We start from the raw sequence: 21,156 nt of genomic DNA, 5'->3' as shown, positions 1-21,156 counted from the left end.
TCTTTTTAATTAATAATGGATTTCCTTCTTAAAAACAGATGTGCATTCTTGGCTTATTATTTTTTTCCCTTCAAGCTGGAACCTATGCCTCTGTTTGCACAGAATTGAGGTGTGAAGTGGGTCTAATGGTCCTGACAATTTGAAGGACTTTTAAGCCTGTGGTTTTGTGACAAGTGCTGACTCTAGGTGGGAGTGGCCTTGGCGGCCCAGCTGCCCCCAGTCCATGGAACCGACGTGCCCCGCGAGGAGTCCTCTCCTGGGGCCTGTCCTGGTTCACTGTCAGCACTCTCTTCCAGAAGCTTGTCGTTTTCCCGCCTCCTTGGCTGCTTTTGAATGTTCTGGATGCCACGCGGTGCCTTCCTCATTTCTTGTTTCCTGCGGGTCCCACGTGCAGGCCCGGCGCCCTCGTGTCCCTGCCAGCCTCTCTTGCTCCAGGCAGCCGGAGGATTGCCCCGCGCCGCCACCGTTCCCTGCGTGGGGGGGCCTGCGCCAGGGTCGGCTGCCTGCTGTGCCTCTCAGCCGCTGTCATTGACCATCTTGTGCGGGAGGCAGCTGGAGGACTTGCGTCTGCCGTCTGCCCTTCCTGCAGCCCCTTGCGGCGTCCAGTTTGCTTCTGCTTCTGCGCTTGGGCCTCTGGATGCGAGGCTGCTGGGGCCCTGCCCCCCACCCCCTGGCGGCCCTGGGGGACCCGCTGCATCCTGAGCTTATCTGGGGGCCTGCCCAGCACTGGAGGGAGGCTTATCTGGAGCCCTGCTGACTTGCTGTCTGTCAGTTTGCAGGCTTTAAAACTTATCTTACTGGTGAGTGCATCTAGTGGGTTCCAGGCTGGCATTCTTTTGGTCTCTAGGTACTTATCGATTAATGTTTTACTAAATTATCAAGCCTGCATTCACAGGTCAAATGTAGATTTTATACTTTAATAAACTTGGGTCTCATATTCCTAGTTTCCTGGTGGATGTATGTGTTCGAGTGTGCAGATGTGTTGCATATGTAATGTGTATGTGTGTGTATGCACAGTGCACCTGTGTGTGTGTGTTTGCGACCAGTTTCCTGGTGTATGTGTACGTGTGCGTACGTGTGAGTGCATGTGGGGATTGTGGCGCATGTGTTGTGTGCACACGTTTGTGTGTGAGTGTATATGTGTGTGCTTGTGTGTAGATTCCTGGTGTGTGTGTCTAAGGGTTGAGGTGTCAGGCAGAGCGTGGGGAACTCTGAGGAACTTGGTCCCAGCTGCCCCCTCCTCCCCATCTTTCTCCTTGGGGACGGAGGAGGCTCTGTTCTCTCCTGCCCACCTGCTCAGTGCCAGTTCCCAGCTCTCCTGCTGCTCAGCTCTTAAGCAGACCTTTTTCCCCAGGTGTATCTGCCTATACCTCTTTACCCCATGTGTGCACCTGAAGGCACCGGGACTGGTAGGGTGGTGTTCACATGCAGCACACAGGAGGGACACAGGGTTCCATAGTCTCCTTTGACAGAAGAGGAAAGAGGCCAAGCAGGGGACATTGACCTGGGGCCCCACACATGGTATAAGTGCTGGGTCCTGCTCTGTCTGCTGCTCCCCAAATATTTGCACAACTGCCCAGCCTCAGCTGTGGCCTGGTGTCTGCAGTCGCCCTTTGCAGAGGCTCCCAGCAGATAATGCCACCTATTTGCCTCATGAGTTCCTGTGCATTTTCTCCAAGATACACTCCTGCTCTGCCATCCCCCGCACCCCCTGGGGGCCCTTTCCGGTCCATGTGTTTCTGGAGGACAGAGGTCAGGCCGGAGTCAGCGGAACAGGAAGAGGCCACCTGGTGGGCTCAGGCAGCTCTTGGCGGCTGTTTGTCCTGACACACGTGCTGAAGCGGGCTGCCATTTCCGCTGCCCTCTCTGTTTGGAAAGCAGCCTCTGCTGTTGCTTCATCAGAACAGTATCAGAGTGAAGACCAAGAAGATGCTCAGGCCACGTGGCATCGGGTGTCTGAGGCTTCTTCCAGTTTCCTGGAGTTACTGTGGCCTTGCTCAGCTGTGTGCCAAGCGTGGAAAGCACCTGGTCATGCCCGTTCTGGAGGCAGCCGGGCCTGCCTGCCATCATGTGTTGCTCTGTGCTGCGTCTCCTTCTGCACTGGGGCTGGAGTCAGCCTTGTGACTAATAGTCAGGAGAAGGGTAATCTAAATTCAGCTTTGCAAACAAGATTGTCCTTTTAAAGTCCTGTGAGAGTTGGTGATTTACGGGCATCTCTGGGCAGATGCCCTCCTTGCTAGCATTTCCTCATTGTTCTCATTCCCTGGGGAAGTGGGGCTCTGTGTTGTGCTGGCCACCTGGCTGTACGTTTGTCTTGCCCTTGAATGGGAACACTTTGTCATGTATAAATCACACCTCCATAAAGTTGTCATGAATAAAGGGGTGGGGTTCTGTAGGACGTCTTGGGGTTGTAATCCTGGCTCTCCAGTGTGTTTTTTGGGCAGATCATTTAGTATCTTGGGTCTCAAATGTCCATCTCTGAAACGGGGACACCACTTCTCTCCCCACAGGGTTTTGTGAGGTTTGGGGCATGGGATATGCACCCAGCACTAAGCACAGTGCCAGCCACATGGTGTTATCCAGATGACAGCTGTCGTCACTCTGGGCTCTTAGTTGGCCACAGGTCACCTTTCCTCCGAGGGAAGTTTGGGATGGAAGTGGTTAGAAAGGCTCTGGACACAAGACTCATTTGCAGAGAAGGAACCAGATAACGGATGCTTCACTAAATTGGCAAAGCCACTTGAGACTTTCTTTCCAGAACCGGTGACCATGAGGGGATCAGTGATTGTAGACAGGCTTGTGGGAGTCAGAGAGGCCCAGGGGTGTGGCCCGAGGGGTTCTCGGGGTGTGTGGACCCCGCCGTGGCAAGGTCAGGATGGAGCCTGTGGGTGGCCCGTCTGGTGCTCCTTCTCCCTTCCTCTTCAGTCTCACCTTCTGTGGCTCCAGGCAGGGGGACTGCACTCTCTGTCCACATGTCCACCTTCCTCACCACACATCCTCAGGTGGATGCAATGATACACACAGGGACTCCCTCAGAAGCAGACCCGTCCTCAGGGAGGGAAGTCTTGGTGACCGGGCCTGGGCTGCCTTTGGAACTTTGGTGTGGACATCCCACTTATTTCTCTTGAGTGTTTTTATTTAGAAAGAAGGGTGAGGCTTGGAGTGAGGCAGCCTCCCCAGGCCCCTTTGTGAGATGCCCCTGGGCCTGGAAGCCTGTCCTCAGCCCACCTGTCTTCTGCTCCACAAGCTCACCCCACATCTTAGGCTCGCCTTCACACCTTTGGCCAGGTGGTTCCCCCCACCTGGAATACCCCCCCACCCACTTCCAAATCCTGTTCTTTGGTCAGAGCATCACCCAGTATCACTTTGTTCTTATGACAAAATTTTCCTAAAGCCATGGAAGGTTGTACTAACTATTGACATTATCACCAACCCCATGAGACTATTATTATAACGTTTACTAACCACATAACTTTTGGCAATGCCTTAGAGGAGAACATGCCAGAAGACCTGGATCACCTTCTTTCCTCTGTACAAGTGGGATAGGCATGTCTTCCCTGCTTCCCCTTTGGGATTATTTTGGCCTAAAACAAGAGACCATGTTTGATTTCACTTTGAAAATTAAATTGTATAAGTTTAATTGCTAATTTTAATAAGTAGCTTGACTATCAAGTTTAATGGGACTCGAAAACTCCCAGCCTTTCCCTTAATTTGGGAGCAGTTATTCTGATCACAGTGCTGTGTGGGGAAGGGTGGGGCTCCACAACCCACCCGTGCTTCCTATGCACTTACGGGGTCTACGTGTGCATCCAGCTGCCAGTGCTGCATTGCACCGAACACGGAAGAGGAGCTTTCACGAGGAGCATGGGCCTTCCCCTTCCTTCCCTTTGCTCCCACTCGCTCTTTAAATGAGCTGTGTTACCGGGCAGAGAGGACTTAGGGAGAGCAGCCGAGGGCGGTGGAGCCCAACGGTGTTTGCTGGGGCCTGGCCAAGCAGAAAGCAGAGGCCTGTCAGGAATGATTAAAGAGCCCAGTGTTGGAAAAGAACAGGCCTTTATGTTGGTGGTAAAATGATTAGAAAGTAATAAGAAAAATGCAGGTTTGGACAGAACATTGTTTTGTTTAATCAGTTCTAAGCCCAAATGAAAAAAAAAGTGCCCTTAGAAGTAAGTTTAAAAGGGATTACAACATACATGTGAACATTTCTCCCATCTAGTTTATGAGTTTAAACTTTAAGGGGAAGGGGGCAGATAAGTCTCTTATTTCTTGGTGTCCAGTGAGGCAATTTCTCTAATGGGAACCAGAAGCAGAGAGAGTAAGAAACATGCTGATGTGAGCAGGCACTTTTGAGGTATAAGAAACTGTCAAGTGATTATTCACACTTCTGTTGGCTGCGCAAAATCCGGATATGGTGAGATCTTTCCAGAAGCCGAAGGAAAAACCTGGAATCTGATCACCTTGTGAGGAGAAATAGGGATCTGAGGAGAATTAATTCTGTTGTTTTTAAAGTGGTGTTTCTGAAGATAAACTGGATGAGGACAGCATTGTGGGGAAGCGGGGGAACCAAGATTGCATCTTTGATGTTCAGCCAAGACAGAGTCAGGGCTACAAATATACCCAGTGGAGCGGCACTGGCAAGGAAGGACACGCAGTCTAAGGAGAGATGGTCTAGGGTGATGCTGCTTTTTCATCTTCACAATATTGTATGCACTGCGTGAATTTCTCTTCTAGAGGAAGGAAGACAGATTTTGGAAAACTTTTCCAGTAATGTGTTCTATGGATTTCATCCTTTTTTGCAACATTAACCTTGGGCATTTGTCAAAGATGGAGGCTGTTTGAATATTTTTGAAAGATTGTGACATGGGCTCAAGTTTTCTTGATACACAAGCAGTCTCAGCTGCCACAGGTGTCTGGTGGGAGGTACTGGCACGCGGGTGACATGGAGGGACCTTGGCTTCCCTGTATCACCAAATGCCTGAATTACCAATTAAGAGTAGAGTCATTTTTTTAAATAGATTTATGTATTTCTTTTTTCTTTTTTGAGACAGAGTCTCGCTCAGCCGCCCAGGCTGGAGTGCAGTGGCGCGATCTCGGCTCACTGCAACCGCCGTCTTTCATGTTCAAGCGAATTCTCCCGTGTCAGCCTCCCGAGTAGCTGGGATTACAGGCATCTGCCATCATGCCCGCCTAAATTTTGTATTTTAGTAGAGATGGGGTTTCACCATGTTGGCCAGGCTGGTCTTGAACTCCTGACCTCAAGTGATCCGCCCGCCTCAGCCTCCAAAGTGCTAGGATTACAGGCGTGAGCCACCGTGCCTGGCCTAAATAGATTTATTTTTTAGAACATTTTAGGTTCACAACAAAATAGAGATGAAGGAACAGAGAATTCCCATATTCCCTGTAACCTGCCCAACATCCCCTACCAGAGTGGTGTGTTTTCTACAGTTGATGAACCTATATTGATATATCATTATCACCCAGAGTCCATAGTTTACCTTAGGGTTCACTTTTGGTGCTGTATGTTCTGTGGGTTTGAACAAATGTAAAATGATATGTGTCTACCATGATAGTATCATACAGATATTTTTCAATGCCGTAAAAATTTTCTGTACTCCACTTATTCATCCCTTCCTCCCCAATCCCTGGCAATCACATGACTCCATAGTTTTACCTTTTCTAGATGTCTTATAGTTGGAATCATATAGTATGTAGTTCTTTCAGATTGGATTCTTTCATTTAGCAATTGGCATTTAAGTTTGCTCTATCTCTTTTCATGGTTTGATAGCTCATTTCTTTTTAGTGCTGAATATTTCATCCACTAGATGTACCACAATTTGTGTACCCTCTTACCTGCTGAAGGACATCTGCTTCCAAGTTTTGGCAATTATGAATGAAGCTGCTGTAAATATCCTTGTGCAGGTTTTTGTGTGGACATAAGTTTTCATCTCCTTATACCAAGGAGTGTGATTGCTAGAACATAGGGTAAGAGTGTGTTTAGCTTTGTAAGAAACCATCAAACTGTCTTCCTCAGTGGCCGTACCATTTTGCATTCTCATGAGCAGTGAATGGGACCTCCTGTTGCTCCACATCCTCCCAGCATTTGGTGTCATCAGTGTTTTGGATAGGAGGAACTTTCAGGGGAGAAATAATTAAGCATACTGAAGGAACTGGAAAGGACAGAATTCCCCTCCACTCTCAAGAATAACAATGGAAATGCCCAGGGCATCTGATGTTTAAAACTATAGTTCTGGGCATATTTTGGGCACTCACAAGTTCTCTGTGAGAATGTTCAGTTTAAACTCATTGTGTTTTTGCACAGCCAACAGAAGTGAATAATCACTTGACAGTTTCTTATACCTCGAATGTGCCTGCTCACATCAGCATGTTTCTTACTCTCTCTGCTTCTGGTTCCCATTAGAGAAATTGCCTCACTGGACACCAAGAAATAGGAATTTATATGCTCCCTTCCCCTTAAAGTTTAAGCTCATTATGTTTTTCTCCTCAATGGTAATCTAAAATCCGTGTTAATCAGTTAGCAGACACACATGTTATGATGCCAGGGGAGATCAGATGAGGCTGAGGCCCCTTGTGCAAACGAAGGTGGGGAACAAGGGACCCAAGCATTGGCATGTCTGAGAGAAGAGACTTCTTGGTAGAGGGAGTGGCCAGTGCAAAGGCCCCGTGGCTGGAGCAAGCTTGGTGTGTTCAAGGAAGAGCAGGGGCCAGTGAACCTAGAGGTGGGTGCTGGGAGAGTGACGGGGCTGGAGTTGGGGAGCAGGGACCAGTCACAAGGGCTGTGTAGGCCACAGTGAGAACTTGGATTTCATCCTGTGTGCATTGGGAAGCTTTTGGAAGGCTTTCAGCAGGGGAATGTTGTGACTTAGTTTTATGCTAAAAAAAACACCCTCTGATGGGTACAGAGTTTCAGTTGTGCAAAGTGAAAAGAATTCTGGAGATAGATGGTGATGGTGGTTGCCAACAGTGTGAATGTACTTAAAGCCCCAGAACTGTCCATTTAGAGATGGTTAAGATGGTAAATTTTATGCTATTTTGGGTAAAAAGTCTCTCCGAAATGGCAGGAGAGTGTGGCAGGGGAGAGGATGGTGGCTCGGATTGGATGGGTGGTATGGAGTATTGATCAGTGGCGGGATACAGTTTGAAGGTAGAGGGAGAGGCACTGGCCGTTGAAGGAGTCTTGGATGTGAATATCTTCTGTTACATATGTGGTGTATTAGTCTGGGCCCTCTGAGATGCAAACTCCCAAAGGGGATTAGAGGTGCAAAACATTTATTAGGGAAATGACTAAAATGAGTAAAATGGGAAGAATAGGCAGGGGTTGTTGGGAGAGTCACCAGCCTGCCGTGAGGCGTGTCCCCCAGTGGAGGGGTGTGGGGAAGAAGGGTTGGTGCAAGGACCTCAGCCTGCAAATTTTTTTTTTTTTAAGACAGAGTCACACTTACTCTGCCACCCAGGCTGGAGTGCAGTGGCATGATCTTGGCTCACTGCAACCGCCGCCTTCCTGGTTCAAGCAATTCTCCTGCCTCGGCCCCCTGAGTAGCTGGGACTACAGGCGTGTACCACCACACCCAGCTAATTTTTGTATTTTTAGATTCTCCTGTCTTGGCCTCCCAAAGTGCTAGGATTACAGACATGAGCCACCATGCCCAGCTTCAGCCTGGGGTTCTGTCTGGCCAAGTCGGCAGGGGTGTCTCCTAGCCAAAGCTAGCCATCAGAGGTGTCCTGTATCTTCCAGTGCCAGGCATGCTGGAATGTCCTTGTCTGTGGGAAGAGTGGCCTTGGGGTCCTGACTCAGTGTCCCCTTGCAGTGAGAGGTCTGAGAAGCTTGCTCCCATGGTTACCACAGGTGGACTTTTCACTTCACCCTTGGTTTCTTTTGTTGAGCAGACGTTTAAAAATGATTGTAAATTCATCAATGTACTTTATAGTATAGACCCCAGGCCCTCACAAGGATAGTACAAAAGAGAAAGTATCTGTGGCCAGGCATGGTGGCTCACGCCTGTATTCCCAGCACTTTGGGAGGCTGAGGCGGGTGGATCACGAGGTCAAGAGATTGAGACCATCCTGGCCAACATGGTGAAACCCCGTCTCTACTAAAAAAATACAAAAATTAGCCGGGTGTGGTGGTGGGCACCTGTAGTCCCAGCTACTCAGGGGGCTGAGGCAGGAGAATTGCTTGAACCCGGGAGGTGGAGGTTGCAGTGAGCTGAGATCACACCACTGCACTCCAGCCTGGCAACAGAGCAAGACTCCATCTGAAAAAAAAAAAAAAAAAAGAAAAGAAAAGAAAAAGAAAAAGAATCTGCCATTCTGAGGTAAAATAAAAAAAAAAAATCCAACACTTAGGTCAGGTGCTGGTGTAAGCTCTTTATATAGTTTAATCTGTTTCATCCCCTCAAGAACCCATTGAGATAGGTATAGAGTTACCCCACTTAACAAATGAGAAAACTGAGGCATGGGCGGGGTAAGGGACTTGCCCAAGGTGGGAGCCAGGGTGCCAGGAACTGGGGTTCTGTCCCAGGCTGCTCTGCCCTTCTGCAGACGATGGCAGAATTTGAAGATGCCCCAAGTTTCCCACCTGCCGGTGCACTTACCTAGGGCCCTACCCAAGGATGTGCTGATGGCGGGTTTCCCTTTCATCACTAGGTTGTGTTGTGTGGCACGGTGAGTTTAGAAAGGGAGATTATCTGGCCAGTTTGGCTTCATCACAGGAGCCCTTAAAATCTGGGCCTAGAGGTTGGGACAGGAAGTCAAAGATTGAAACTGTGAGAAGGATTTGATGTGCCTGTGCTGGCTTTTTTTTTTTTTTTTTTTCTTCTTAGACAGATTCTTGTTCTGTTGCCCAGCCTGGAGTGCAGTGGCGCGATCTCGGTTCACTGCAACCTCTGCCTCCTGGGTTCAAGCAGTTCTTCTGCCTCATTCTCCTAAGTAGCTGGGACTACAGGTGTCCACCACCACGCCTGGCTAATTTTTGTATTTTTAGTAGAGATAGGTTTTCACCATATTGGCCAGGCTGGTCTTGAACTCCTGACCTCAAGTGATTCTCCCGTCTTGGCCTCCTAAAGTGCTGGGATTACGGGTGTGAGCCACCATGCCCAGCCCCTGTGCTGGCTTTAAAGGTGAGGGGCCCAGGGCCGGGAATGTGGGCAGCCTCCAGGAGCCGAGAGGGGCTGCAGCCCACACCCAGCAAGGAAACAGGGATGCAGTCCTGCAACCAAAAGGAACGGAATATGGACAACAACCTGAATGAACCTGCAAAAGATTCTTTCCCTGGGCCTCTAGAAAGGAACACAGCTAGGGCCGGGTGCGGTAGCTCACGCCTGTAATCCCCGCACTTTGGGAGGCCGAGGCAGGTGGATCACCAGAGGTCAGGAGTTTGAGACCACCCTGGCCAACATGGTGAAACCCCGTCTCTACTAAAAATACAAAAATTAGCCGGGAGTGGTGTTGGGTGCCTGTAATCCCAGCTACTCAGGAGGCTGAGGCAGCATAATTGCTTGAACCTGGGAGGCGGAGGTTGCAGGAGCAGAGGTTGCAGTGAGATCGTGCCACTGCACTCCAGCCTGGGTGACAAGTGAGACTCCATCTCAAAAGAAGAAAAAAAAAAAAAAAAAGAAAGGAACAGCCCTGCTGACAACTTGATTTTTAGCTGTGTAAGAGGTGGGAACCCAGCCATGCTCTTCTTAGACTTCTGATGTACAGAACCGTAACTTAATACATAGTTGGTGTTTAGAAAAGCTGCTAAGTTTGAGGCAATTTGTTATGTAACAGTAGAAAACTAAAATATCAAACTACAGATGCCCTCTGAACACTTGAAAATAGAGATGGAAAAGTCCTGCATAGAATTTAGCAAATAAGCCCTGGTACTATGTTAAAAGAACAACAGCAATTCTGGGATGGTTCAGCATTAAAAAAATCCACATGAGGGCATTTTAATTTTAGAGGGAAAAATCATCTCAGTGGATGCTATAAATGCTTGTGCTAAATGTCAGCATTCTTTGCTGACATTAGCAAAATAGGCCTAGTTAACTCCATAAAAGGATTCTTTCAAAGATCTTCAGTGAATATTCCATTTCAAGGTAAAACACAGGAGAAGATACAGATTTCTGTTGTCACCGTTACTGTCCAGTGCTGCTCTGGTCGTCCCAGCCAATACGATAATTAGAAAAGATAAGAGCAAGCTCTCACTATTTGTAGGTAATAAACTGGAAAATTCAAGGGAATCAACTGACAACTATTGAAACTTAAGGAGAGCAAGGTGGCCACATGTTAATTAACATAGGAAACCCATTAGCTTCCGGATGCATTGCTAGGGGCCTCTTTGAACCAAAAACTATAAAACACTTAGGAATAAGTTTAATAAGGAGTACAGCATCTATAAGTTTAATAAGGAGTGCAGCGTCTACGAGAAGAAAACCATAACACTTACTTATGTTTGTTGTTAATCAAAATCCCAAAAGGTATGAGAAGTCTTCTTAGTGAATATCAAAGAAAAAGAAATGAAGAAAAAGCTTTACAGGAGAAGATTCCTGCCTCCTTATGTGGAACTCGTTCATTCCACAGTTAGCGTTTCCCTGCTTGAGGCCGACAGTGGCTCCCTGGCCCCTGTGCCTGGGTCCGTACCCAAGGTGGGTCCTTGCTGGTCCTGCTGGTGTCTCCATCGGTGGCCCTTTGGGCTGCTCTCTGGTTCTGGATTTTCTCTTCTGACTTTCTTCCAGAAAGAGGGAAAGAAGTTGCCATTTTCTAAGAAAAGAGCAATCCATCCTAAGAACACCTCTGACCCTCACTGGGCTCTTACTACTCACTTGGCTGAAGCCACTAACTCCCCTGCCCTGGGGTCCAGTCAGTGTGGGAGAAAAAGCCCTGGAGACTTTTTGCCTGTTCTGGTTGGCTCAGCCAGGAGCTTTGGCTACAGGAATGGTAACCCCCTCCCCGCTAATATTATACCCACTGTTCTTATGGGCCGAAGCCAGGATTATTCTGGAGCCTTTTGCTGTGCAGAGTGTGTCTTCCGTGTGGGTCAGCCATAAAACAATATCATTTCTCCCTCTGAAGGCTCCTCAAGGAGGCGGGGTGCACAAATGTAGATTATAAAGCTTAGCGCTAAGTTTTTGGACTTCAAGAAATTCCTGAGTTAGCCTTTCCAAAGCCAGGTCCTTGGCCCAGTTTTAGGGAGTTAGTGTGTTGTGTGCAGAGAGTTTTGGCGTCTGATGTTGGCTTTGGCATTTGTCATGAGCCCACTGACTGCTTCAGATGGAAGGGACCGTAGTGGTCTTCTGGCCCGCCCTGTAGGTGTGGGCAGCTATGCAGCCTGTACAGAGTGAGGGGGTCTGTCCGGGTCCACACAGAGAGGGTCAGCAGCTCTAGGTCTGGAGTCGCCTGGCAACAGAAACAGAGACGCCGAGGCACCCCCCAACCACGTCTAGCATGCAGTATGTCTAGTGTGTGTGGACATACCTTCTCTGTCCTATTGGGGCGCCTTCATGGTATAGATTTGAGACAGGCACCTTCACAGTGTGTCCACCTGAGGGTGTGATCTGCCCAGTGGCCCAGCGTTGTGTGCCTGGGGCCCTGGGACTCCTGGCTCCTCTGTCCTTGTCCCTGTCCTCACTCAGGGCTTGGGAGTGGGTCCCACACTCGGCAGCTTCAGCTTTGCAGGCAGCGGTTGCTCCTTCCTTGGTACCAGGTGTTCCCACTCTCAGGAAGTGTCCCAGGACTGTGGAATCCTCTTACTGGTCTCACTGGAAAGTAAGATTTAGTATTTTATTGGCTAGGCATGGGGGAATGAAGCTCCAGCTCTCTATTTTATTACACGGTCTCTCTTCCAAATGAGGTTATTCTGTGATCATTTGTTTTTCCAAGAAGTTGTTCAGAGTCAGTTAGAAAGCAAAGAAAAAATGGGAGAGCCATAAACATGAAAAAAATGGAAGAGCCATAAACATGAAAAAAAAAAGGAAGAACCTCACCAACCTGCTTCGTGGACAGCCTGTCACACTAGAGTGGGCTTTGGCAGCAGAGAGGAGTGAATAAAGAAAGGACATTGCTTCCCGTGCAGGACACAGCCAGCCAGAGGTCTCTGAGCATTGCCAGCCCCTTTCCAGTCTTGCCAGTGATTTCCTCCTGCTCGTTTTGTCCAGTTGCCCCTTGTTTCTTATTAATGCACATGGACACATGTTTTATTCTGCCATTTCTGAGCAAGTGGTGTGGCCTCGATCACCCTCTGAGAGCAGAGTGGAAGAGGACGCATGGGCAGGGAGGCAGAAGTGTTGATTACAGCTTCAATCGCATCCCAGCCTGGCTTCACTTGTTCCTGGGTAGGACAGAGACATTAAGCCAGGAAGGAGTTTTAGGAGTGTCTTGCAGTAGTGGCTAGAGATCTAGGATGAAATGGTGTCTTCATTGAGTCTTGCAGGAGGGTATCAGCGTCCAGTGGAAGAGGAGGTTGTGATTCTTACCCAGGTGTGTTCCTGCATCTGCGTCCTCTAATCTGGCACTATTTGCTTCCCATTGAGCAGTGGTGTTTGTAGTCCATTGTTTGTACCTTTAAGTCTTTAAATCCATGTTCAGCTATGCTCTAAATAAATGGATCTCAAAAATATAAACAGGCAGTTCACTAGGAGGAGACCTTCCAAACACTCATGAACCTGGGAAACACAGTTAAAATCACAAGGAAGTAACATCAAATTCACAAAAGTCTAGAAAAAGCATTGATGCCATCAAATTTACAAAAATATAGAAGTCTGACAATACGAAGTGTTGGCAAAAATGTGTTATGGAGGCTGGGCATGGTGGCTCACGCTTGTAATCCCAGCACTTTGGGAGGCCGAGGCGGGCAGATCACGAGGTCAGGAGTTTGAGACCAGCCTGACCAACATGGCAAAACCCCGTCTCTACTAAAAATACAAAAATTAGCTGGGAGTGGTGGCTCGTGCCTGTAATCCCAGCTACGCAGGAGGCTGAGGCAGGAGAATTGCTTCAACCCGGGAGGCAGAGGTTGCAGTGAGTTGTGATGGCACCACTGCACTCCAGCCTGGGCGACAGAGTGAGACTCCATCTCAAAAAAAAAAAAAAAAAAAAAGAGAAAAAAAGTGTTATGGAGAGAAGAAGCTGCTGGAGGGCGTTGAATTTGTACGCCCCGTTATACCTACATTATTGGGCAATTTAGCAATTACTGGAAAAGCTGAATCATGCTTCTCCTACTCAGTGCAATTGCATTCCCAGGCATAGGTCAGAGAACCCCTCAGATAAGGGCGCAAGGAAACCATAAGGGGAATGTTCATAACAGCTTTGGAATTTGCAAAAACTGCAAGTAACCCAAATGTTCACCCACAGAACAGTGGGAAAAAACTTGTGATATATTTATTGACTGGAGCCACATGTTCAAACATAGATCTCACAGCTTAGCATTGAGCAGGAAATACAAGTTGTAGGAGGCTTGATATTTATGTAAAGGTTAAACCTATGCAAGGAAATCTTGCGTACTGCTCTGGGATACATACTGTAGGGAAGTACTATATTAATATAAACTCAGGATTGTGGGTGCCATTGGAGGGGGGCTCGAGAAAAGAATAAGCCTTTCATTTGGCCTGGTGTGTTCATTCACTTTTTTGGAATGCATCTGAAATATTACATACCAAATTAAAATACTGTGTTTCCAAACCTATAAAACCGATGGCAACTTTCAAATAATTGGATGTTAGAAATGGAACTCTCAAAAGATTTCCTCCTCCCCACGAATGTACCCTTTGCCTAGGATGGGAGGCTGTCACCTGGAGTAGCAACCCAAGGCCCTCGACCGCAGGGGTCCTAGCAAGCCTTGCCTTTGTGCATCTGCTCTGGGAGCCAGAGAAGTTGAAAGCGGCCTCACTCGGGATTTTTGAAGAGGTTGTATTTCCCGACAGTCCTGGATAAAAGACACGGCAGGCAGTCTGACTGTCAGGGGAGTCCCTTCTGGGTCTGTATTTATATATCCCTAGGAATCCTCTCCTGCGGGCTCTTAAATGGTAAGTAGTGGGTTCGTGACCTGTGGTGAGAAGAAAGATGCCCCAGCAGGTAACGTTATCTTTTCCTTTCATCTGTGAATCTCCCTGCTGCAGGCAAAGCACCCCTGAGTCCTGCAATTACGGCCTTCCCACCCCCAAGCTGAAAAACCTGATTTTCTTCAGGAGAAGAGAAACCTCATCCCGGGAGCGGAATTTGGTTTGTATTTCCCGAGTAGAGGCGGTGTGGTCAGGGATAGCTTAACCCTCCGGAGCAGCCCGGGCCGGGGGTTGCCGGGAAGGGCGGGGCGGGGGAGTGGTGGTCGCGGGTCCCCTCGTGAGGGCAGGAAGAGGCTGTGACTCGGGCGGAGGGGCTGCCGCGCCGTGCGTGGGTGCACAGTCGGTGGTGTAAGCAGAGACCCTGGTGTAGACAGATCGCGGTGTGGGGAGGAAGCAAGTGGGTGTGCAGAGGCCGTGGTGTAGACACACGCCGACGTCTACCGGCCCACGCTGTCGGTCCAGTTCTGTCTAGCTCTGCACCCTGGAAATGGCGAGGGGAGGGGGAGAATGATGGCCCTGGTGGGTCCCCGCTGGCTCCAACAATCTGGGCTGTTCACATGGCCTCCTCTCCTGCTCCTCTAAATGTGAAACCCCTTTAAGATGGCATCTTTATGTCTCCAGAAGATAAATGCGCCTTTTAAAAAGTAACCATGGCCGGGGGCGGTAGCTCATGCCTGTAATCCCAGCACTTTGGGGAGGCTGAGGCGGGTGGATCAGTTGAGGTCAGGAGTTCGAGACGAGCCTGACCAACATGGTGAAATCCCGTCTCTACTAAAAATACAAAATTAGCCGGACGTAGTGGTGCACACCTGTAATCCCAGCTACTCGGGAGAGGCTGAGGCAGGAAAATCGCTTGAACCCCGGAAGCGGAGGTTGCAGTGAGCTGAGATTGCGACATTGTTCTCCAGCCTGGGCAAGAAGAGTGAAATTCTGTCTCAAAAAAAAAAAAAAAAAAAAAAGGAAACCATACTGCTACTTAAAAAGGCACTTCCTAATATAAAATATTCACAGTTCACATTTTCCTGTTTATTTCATGAGTTTTGTTTTATTTTGTGTGTTATTCAACAGGATTTAGATAAGACCTAGGTATTTTGATTCGTTGATTTGATTTAAACGCATCACAGTGGTCATGTGGGAGAAAAATCAGAACCTTGGGGCAGGGCTTTTGTAGATCACTTTTAGGGTTCCCTGTTATTTCTATTTGGAATTACATTTTGGCGGGGACCAGCATGTTTCCAGATCTCGGTCTCACCCAGGCATTTGGCCTCTCCTTCCCTTAGGTCCCATGTCATAGCCACCCTGGTGCAGGCCCAGGCGGGAGCCACACGCTGCTCAGTCCTGGGGAATCCCAAGCCCCTCCACTCTGTGCAAGGAATGGAGATAATGGGCTGAGAATTAGGTTTTATTAAAAGCAAAGCCCTTGAAGGATGGTTATTCCCGCCTGGAGATCCCACAGTAGGGCCTTTGGAGTGATAGACATCCCCATCTCCCTCCACACCCTGCCCTACCGCCCCCCAACCCCCAAAGCTTCAACAAAGGCTCCTTTTTAAAGTTTTCCGGTGCCCTTTGCTCTTTGTTTGCCTTCCCGCTTTGTTCTCTGGCCAGCTGCAGGCCACACTGCCATTTGGAAAGGAGTTTCCTTGGGTTTGATTGACAAATGGGAGAGAATTGGGATGCAGAGGCTCATGCCTTCCAGAGAATATTTTGGAGAAAGGTGGGAACTAGAGAGAGCTGCTGGCTTTGCAATGTTGGGTTCTGAGAACTACCAGGGGTGGGGTTCGTGAGCCACACACAGGCTTGTTAGCTCTTTAAGTTCGCGAGGCTTTAAGTTCTTAAGGCTTTGTAAGCTTGCAGTGATAACACAGAAAATACCAAGTTAAGGCAATAAAATGGTCTCCCCAACCAACTGATCACTTCCCAGCACAGGAAGTTGATGACTTAATTTAGAAAATATGATTTTAAAAATTGGCCTCAAAGCGTTTTTGGACTCAGTTCTGTGCATGTTAATATGTATCCAGATTATATCCTGACATTCATTTAGAAAAAAAAAAGACTAAAAAATTTTGCCAAACTGGAAATGGAGACATGTTATGGTCTGTGGATGGGAAGAGTCTTGAATGTGTATGACAGCCCGCAGGATGTGTTAGCTCCAGTTCCAGCCAAAAATCCAAGAGAGTAATGAGTTTGTCAGATATCGTCAGATCAGGGAGAAGATTTAGATAAAACCCTTCAGCATTAATATTCTGGCAATATTAAAAATTATCTTAGAAAACCAGGCCTGGGGATTGGGGAATGGAGAATACAGAATTTCTGTACCTAGAAGGCCCCCCGCAAGCCTTTTTTTTTTTTTTTAAAGGTAATCAAAGGTAAGTGGAGAGTAAGTAATTCTTTTTGTAGGCCAATTAGACAAGTCATGCCTGAAGCCTCCCCCCACCCCCCATGACTCCTGGAGGAGACTGAGACTCCCTGTCACAGGGGTACCCACCAACACACATCCCTGCTGGTTGAGATCTAAAATGCTTATCTGAACAGCCTTGGCTGGTCTGTTGCTGCCTGTGTTTATTTGGATGTATTTCAGCAGAAGCCATCACACAGACAGGAGAGGTGGGTTTTATGAGATGGTGTTGAATGAGGGACAGGTCAAACTGAAACCTAATTGACAGATGATCAGATTGGTGAAACCAGAGAGAAAAGAAAGGGATTAGTACTCAAGTACCTTGACTTCAGAAGTACAGAGCTTCCCTTTGGTGACTCCTTCAGCTCCATTTTTGTTGAGTGAGCTTTGGTTCTAGCTCCGTGGTAGGATGGTGAGTGTGCTTTCTCTCTGGGTTTCTTTTGTGTACTTGTCTCAATGGCCATAACATGGCACTGCATTGGTGTGAAATCCCCTGAGATTTTACCTCCAGATGCAACTCATGCTAGATAGGGGCCCTGGGTAGGGGGCTGAGAAGGGGGTTCCGAGGCCACCAGGACCTTGGAAGGGGAAGGGATTTTGGTGGTGATTTAAGCGCTAGCAAGGGCTCTGTTGGAAATGATTCACTAACTTCCTGCAAGGACACTTCAGAGGTGTGATGGGCAGTAGTACAGTGGGTGGGGTGTGTTTCTTGTTTGGAGTGAGAGAGGGTTCTGGTGCGTAGGAGTCTCATTCCAAGGCCTCTTGTCCATCAAATTCTGTTGGGCAGCACTGTCCAATAGAATTTTCTACAATGATAGAAATGTTCTATATTTGTCATGTCCAAATCAGTAGCCTGCAGCCACATGTCCCTATTGAGCACTGGAAATATGATTAGTGTGAATGAAGAACTGCATTTCTGATCTTACTACTTGATTTTAATTAATTTAAATGTAAAGGGCCCCATGTGGCTAGTGGCTACTATATTGGACAGTGCTGTTACAGAGCTCCATCTATCACCTTAATAATTTTATATCATCCGTACAAAACAGTGAAGAAAATGTGAGTGGGAAACATGAAGAGTGATGAAATGAACAAGTTGAGTGACTCCCACCCTGTTGAAGAGATTGAACTTCATCCCCAGTTCCTGTGAAGCTTTCTGGATCTCGTCTTCCAAGGTAGTGATGGTCCTCTGTTTTGTGTTAATAATTCCTGTACTTTGTAGTTTTGCCATATAGGACAGGCCAACTATCCTTTAGTCTGAAATGCTTGGAAACAGAAGTGTTTCAGATTTGGGTTTTGTACCATACATACAGGTTATGCATCTCTAATCCAAAAATCCGAAATCTGAAGTACTCCAGTGAGCATTTCCTTGGAGCATCATGTTGGCACTCTGAAATGTTCCAAAGTCTGAAACACTTTGAGTTCTTGTTTCAGATTAGAAATATTCAACCTGTAGTATATATCTCTATTAGTTTTCTGGGACTGCCATAACGAAGTCCCACAGGCTGGGCTGCTGAAACAACAGGCATTTACTTTCTCCCAGTTCTGAAGGCTGGAAGTCCCAGATCAGGTGTCAGCAGGGGTGACTTCTCCTGCCTTTCTCCTTGGCTGGCAGATGGCGCCTTTCTCCCTCTGTTTTCACGTGGGCACCTCTCTGTGTCTGAGTCCTCATCTGCTCTTCTTATGACATCTGTCTTCGTGGATTAGGGTCCACCCTAATGACTTCATTTTAACTGAATTACTCTTTTAAAAACCTTATCCCCAAACACAGTCATATTTTGAGGTCCTGGGGTTAGGATTTTAAGGTACAATTTTGGAGAGACACAATTCAGTTCATAACAATCCATAAACAGCAGATTGCTTAGTTTTGCCTGTTTTTGACCTTTTGATAAGTGGAGGCTTGTTGTATATATTTTTTCGTTCAGCATTTTCACTGCCTCTTCATGGTCAATTGGAGACCACCTTCCAGCTCTCATGGGGAGTGGATTGTCTTGGTCATGGGCTAGTTTTTTTTTTTTTTTTGAGACAGAGTCTCACATTGTCGCCTGGGCTGGAGTGCAATGGCATGATCTAGGTTCACTGCAACCTCCGCCTCCTGGGTTCAAGTGATTCTCCTGCCTCAGCCTCCCTAGTAGCTGGGATTACAGGCACCCGCCACCATGCCTGGGTAATTTTTTGTATTTTTAGTAGAGATAGGGTTTCACTATGTTGGCCAGGCTTGTCTCAAACTCCTGACCTCAAGATCCACCCGCCTCAGCCTCCCAAAGTGTTAGAATTACAGGCATGATCCACCGTGCCTGGCTGGTCATAGGCTAGTTCTATAGACTGAGCTGTGAGCTCTGGGTTCTCATTCAAGGTCGAAAGGACAGGAACCAAACTGTCCTAATTGTAGGCTCCTCAGGCTTCTCCCTGTACATGACAAGGAGAGGTGGCTCCTGTGTGGAACCCTACACTCCATTTGCCCAGCTAGATAGATGCCCGACACATACTGCTGCCCAGCCTGAGGGCCTCGCCTGCCCTCCTACTCCTTTAGTAGAACTTTCTTTCAAGCCCTCAAAATTCAGATGCCTCAGTGCTTTTCCTCGAATTTCTCCCCTCATCCTTCTTCATCTCAGGAGGTTCTTTGCCCCTGTCGGGCTTTTCTCTACAAACCCTCTCTCCGTGTGATAATTCCCCTGGTCTTGTTTTGTCTTTGCTAATCACCTTCGCTAATGAGGCCTGATAGCTCAGGAGTGCTCGTCCTCCCTAATTTTTTCACCTCATGATAAAATTAATACATGTATGTCAGTATTTAGAAGAAAAATAGTATAAATAAGGAAACAAAAATTATTTGTAACTATGCTGCTGGAGATAACTCACCATCAAAAAAGGAGTACTAACAGTAAGTCTTCACTTAACAGCATTGATAGACTCTTGGAAACTGCGACTTCGAGTGAAATGACATACTGTATAACAAAACTGATTTTACCATACACTAACAGATATAAACAAGAGTTAAGTTCTTGCAGCATACAGTATGTCATTTCATTTAAAGTTGGAGTTTCTAAGAACCTTATCAATGATGTCAAGTGAGGACATAGGACTCATTGTACTAGCATTTTAACACATTTGTGATCATACTGACATGGTTTTATTTCATAAACATGTTTTTCTTGTTACCTACTTGGTGTTTTTATAATAATCAATTTTAATGGTTGCATATTATCTAGTCAAGTGCCATTTCCTGTAACAGATCAAACACTCCACTCGTTTTCAATATGTAGGATTTTTTCAGTTTTTCCAAGTTATATTTGTGAAGTTCAGAACTTACTGGAAAGTTGCAAGTAGAGTATATGGAAGTTCCTTCTCCCCCCTCTAGCCATCTGAAAGTAAGCGGCTGGCAAGATGTCCCATTACCCCCAAAATGCTTTAGTATGTATTTTCTACAAACAAGAACATTCTTGTACATAATCCTAATACAACCATCATGAAAATCACAAAATTAGAACAGATGCATGACCACCATCAGACCCCAATCTGGACAGTTGCAACAGCAGTCCCAGTAATGTCCCTTTGAGCAGCAGGATTCACTGCAGGGTCATTTGGCTCTGTGCTTCTGGAGTCTCCTCCAGTCTGGAACATTTCCCAGCCTGCCCTTGACCTTCATGACCTTGACATTTCTGAAGAGTGCAGGCAGGTTATTTTGTAGGAAATCCCACAACTTCTGTTTATCAGGCTTTGTATATGGGCAGGCCCATTGCAGAAACAATGTTGTAGAAATCGTTTTCAGTGCTGTTTTTGAATGGTGCACAGGGTCACTTTGTCCCCTAACTGATGAGATTGACTGGCTGAGGTGGCATCTGTTAGGCCTTCCCTTTCAAATGAATCAGCATTTGGTATTTGGTGGGGAGGTTCTTGGAAACCGTCAACCTCATCAGGCTCTCACTATATTCATGGATTTACTTGTATTAGTGTGCTCACAGCACTACTGTTTTATCCAGTGGGTTATAATCCTGCTTTGGAATATCTATAGCTGATGCACCTACAAATGCTTTAAATATATTTTATTACGGCATTAGTTTGCTAGGACTGCTGTAACAATGCACCACAGACTTAAGGGCTTATACAATGGAAATTTATTTCATCCTAGTTCTGGAGGCCAGAAGTCTGAGGTCCAGGTTTCAGCAGGGCTGGTTTCTCCTGTGGCCTCTCTCCTTGGCTTGCAGATGGTGTCTTCACCCTGTGTCTTCACATGGTCATCCTACTGTGTGTGTGTCCTTTTTTTTTCTTATAAGGACACAAGTCATACTGCATTGGGGCCCACCCTGATGACTTTATTTTAGCTTAATTACTTCTTCAAAGGTTCTGTCTCCAAATGCAGTCACATTCTGAGCTATGGGAGGTTACAGCTTCAACATACGAATTTTGGAGGTCACAATTCAGCCGATAATAATTAGGAGCTATGCTTTGTATTGTAGTAACATCTGTTGACTTCTACTGTGATGAAAAACTTAGTATTGACCTCCTTAACATTTCTGAGAATCTTCTCAGAAAAAATGAGTGCAAGCAGAGGCAAAAAGCTCTGATTTTAAGCAAAGATGGACACGTGGAAGGAGTTGGAACTAGACTTTCTGCAGTTCTTGTCTAAGTTAATAGGACTGTCTAGATACACGATGAGGTGTTCACTTAGTCTGCTGCACCCAGACTTTGGTTAGACCCTGGGCT

The 21,156-nt window shown here is 47.1% G+C and overlaps 1 protein-coding gene across 7 annotated transcripts in view, besides 8 other annotated features; it reads left to right on the top strand.

The window, feature by feature from the left end:
• ROR2 (receptor tyrosine kinase like orphan receptor 2) overlaps positions 1-21,156 on the top strand; it is a 227,628-nt gene that overhangs the window by 49,344 nt on the left and 157,128 nt on the right. The window contains exons 2-3 of one of the 7 annotated variants that reach the window (XM_047423435.1): positions 14,115-14,217; positions 17,502-17,627. The exons of 4 other annotated variants lie outside the window; for them this stretch is intronic. The gene's annotated coding sequence lies outside the window, so the exon portion shown is untranslated. Of the gene's footprint in view, positions 1-14,114; positions 14,218-16,410; positions 17,628-21,156 lie in introns of those variants that run through there. 2 more of the 7 variants (XM_047423436.1, XM_047423434.1) reach the window with 2 other exon arrangements.
• Positions 1,185-1,798: an enhancer, noted in NCBI's record as "H3K4me1 hESC enhancer chr9:94661369-94661982 (GRCh37/hg19 assembly coordinates)". NCBI's record gives its function as "activates a minimal SCP1, AML or CMV promoter by ChIP-STARR-seq in naive H9 embryonic stem cells {active_cell/tissue: H9 hESC(naive)}" and the evidence as "EXISTENCE:reporter gene assay evidence [ECO:0000049][PMID:30033119]".
• Positions 1,185-2,413: a biological region, named in NCBI's record as "H3K4me1 hESC enhancers GRCh37_chr9:94660754-94661368 and GRCh37_chr9:94661369-94661982".
• Positions 1,644-1,938: an enhancer, noted in NCBI's record as "tiled region #1031; HepG2 Activating non-DNase unmatched - State 20:ReprD, and K562 Activating DNase unmatched - State 1:Tss". NCBI's record gives its function as "activates a minimal TATA promoter and a strong SV40 promoter by Sharpr-MPRA in HepG2 and K562 cells {active_cell/tissue: HepG2 | K562}" and the evidence as "EXISTENCE:reporter gene assay evidence [ECO:0000049][PMID:27701403]".
• Positions 1,799-2,413: an enhancer, noted in NCBI's record as "H3K4me1 hESC enhancer chr9:94660754-94661368 (GRCh37/hg19 assembly coordinates)". NCBI's record gives its function as "activates a minimal SCP1, AML or CMV promoter by ChIP-STARR-seq in naive H9 embryonic stem cells {active_cell/tissue: H9 hESC(naive)}" and the evidence as "EXISTENCE:reporter gene assay evidence [ECO:0000049][PMID:30033119]".
• Positions 5,779-6,361: an enhancer, noted in NCBI's record as "NANOG hESC enhancer chr9:94656806-94657388 (GRCh37/hg19 assembly coordinates)". NCBI's record gives its function as "activates a minimal SCP1, AML or CMV promoter by ChIP-STARR-seq in primed H9 embryonic stem cells {active_cell/tissue: H9 hESC(primed)}" and the evidence as "EXISTENCE:reporter gene assay evidence [ECO:0000049][PMID:30033119]".
• Positions 13,659-14,240: an enhancer, noted in NCBI's record as "OCT4-NANOG-H3K27ac-H3K4me1 hESC enhancer chr9:94648927-94649508 (GRCh37/hg19 assembly coordinates)". NCBI's record gives its function as "activates a minimal SCP1, AML or CMV promoter by ChIP-STARR-seq in naive H9 embryonic stem cells {active_cell/tissue: H9 hESC(naive)}" and the evidence as "EXISTENCE:reporter gene assay evidence [ECO:0000049][PMID:30033119]".
• Positions 14,241-14,824: an enhancer, noted in NCBI's record as "OCT4-NANOG-H3K27ac-H3K4me1 hESC enhancer chr9:94648343-94648926 (GRCh37/hg19 assembly coordinates)". NCBI's record gives its function as "activates a minimal SCP1, AML or CMV promoter by ChIP-STARR-seq in primed H9 embryonic stem cells {active_cell/tissue: H9 hESC(primed)}" and the evidence as "EXISTENCE:reporter gene assay evidence [ECO:0000049][PMID:30033119]".
• Positions 14,825-15,408: an enhancer, noted in NCBI's record as "H3K27ac-H3K4me1 hESC enhancer chr9:94647759-94648342 (GRCh37/hg19 assembly coordinates)". NCBI's record gives its function as "activates a minimal SCP1, AML or CMV promoter by ChIP-STARR-seq in primed H9 embryonic stem cells {active_cell/tissue: H9 hESC(primed)}" and the evidence as "EXISTENCE:reporter gene assay evidence [ECO:0000049][PMID:30033119]".

Source organism: Homo sapiens, chromosome 9, assembly GCF_000001405.40.
Source record: "Homo sapiens chromosome 9, GRCh38.p14 Primary Assembly".
NCBI lineage: Eukaryota > Metazoa > Chordata > Mammalia > Primates > Hominidae > Homo > Homo sapiens.
This window is presented reverse-complemented; position numbering and strand designations above follow the sequence as displayed.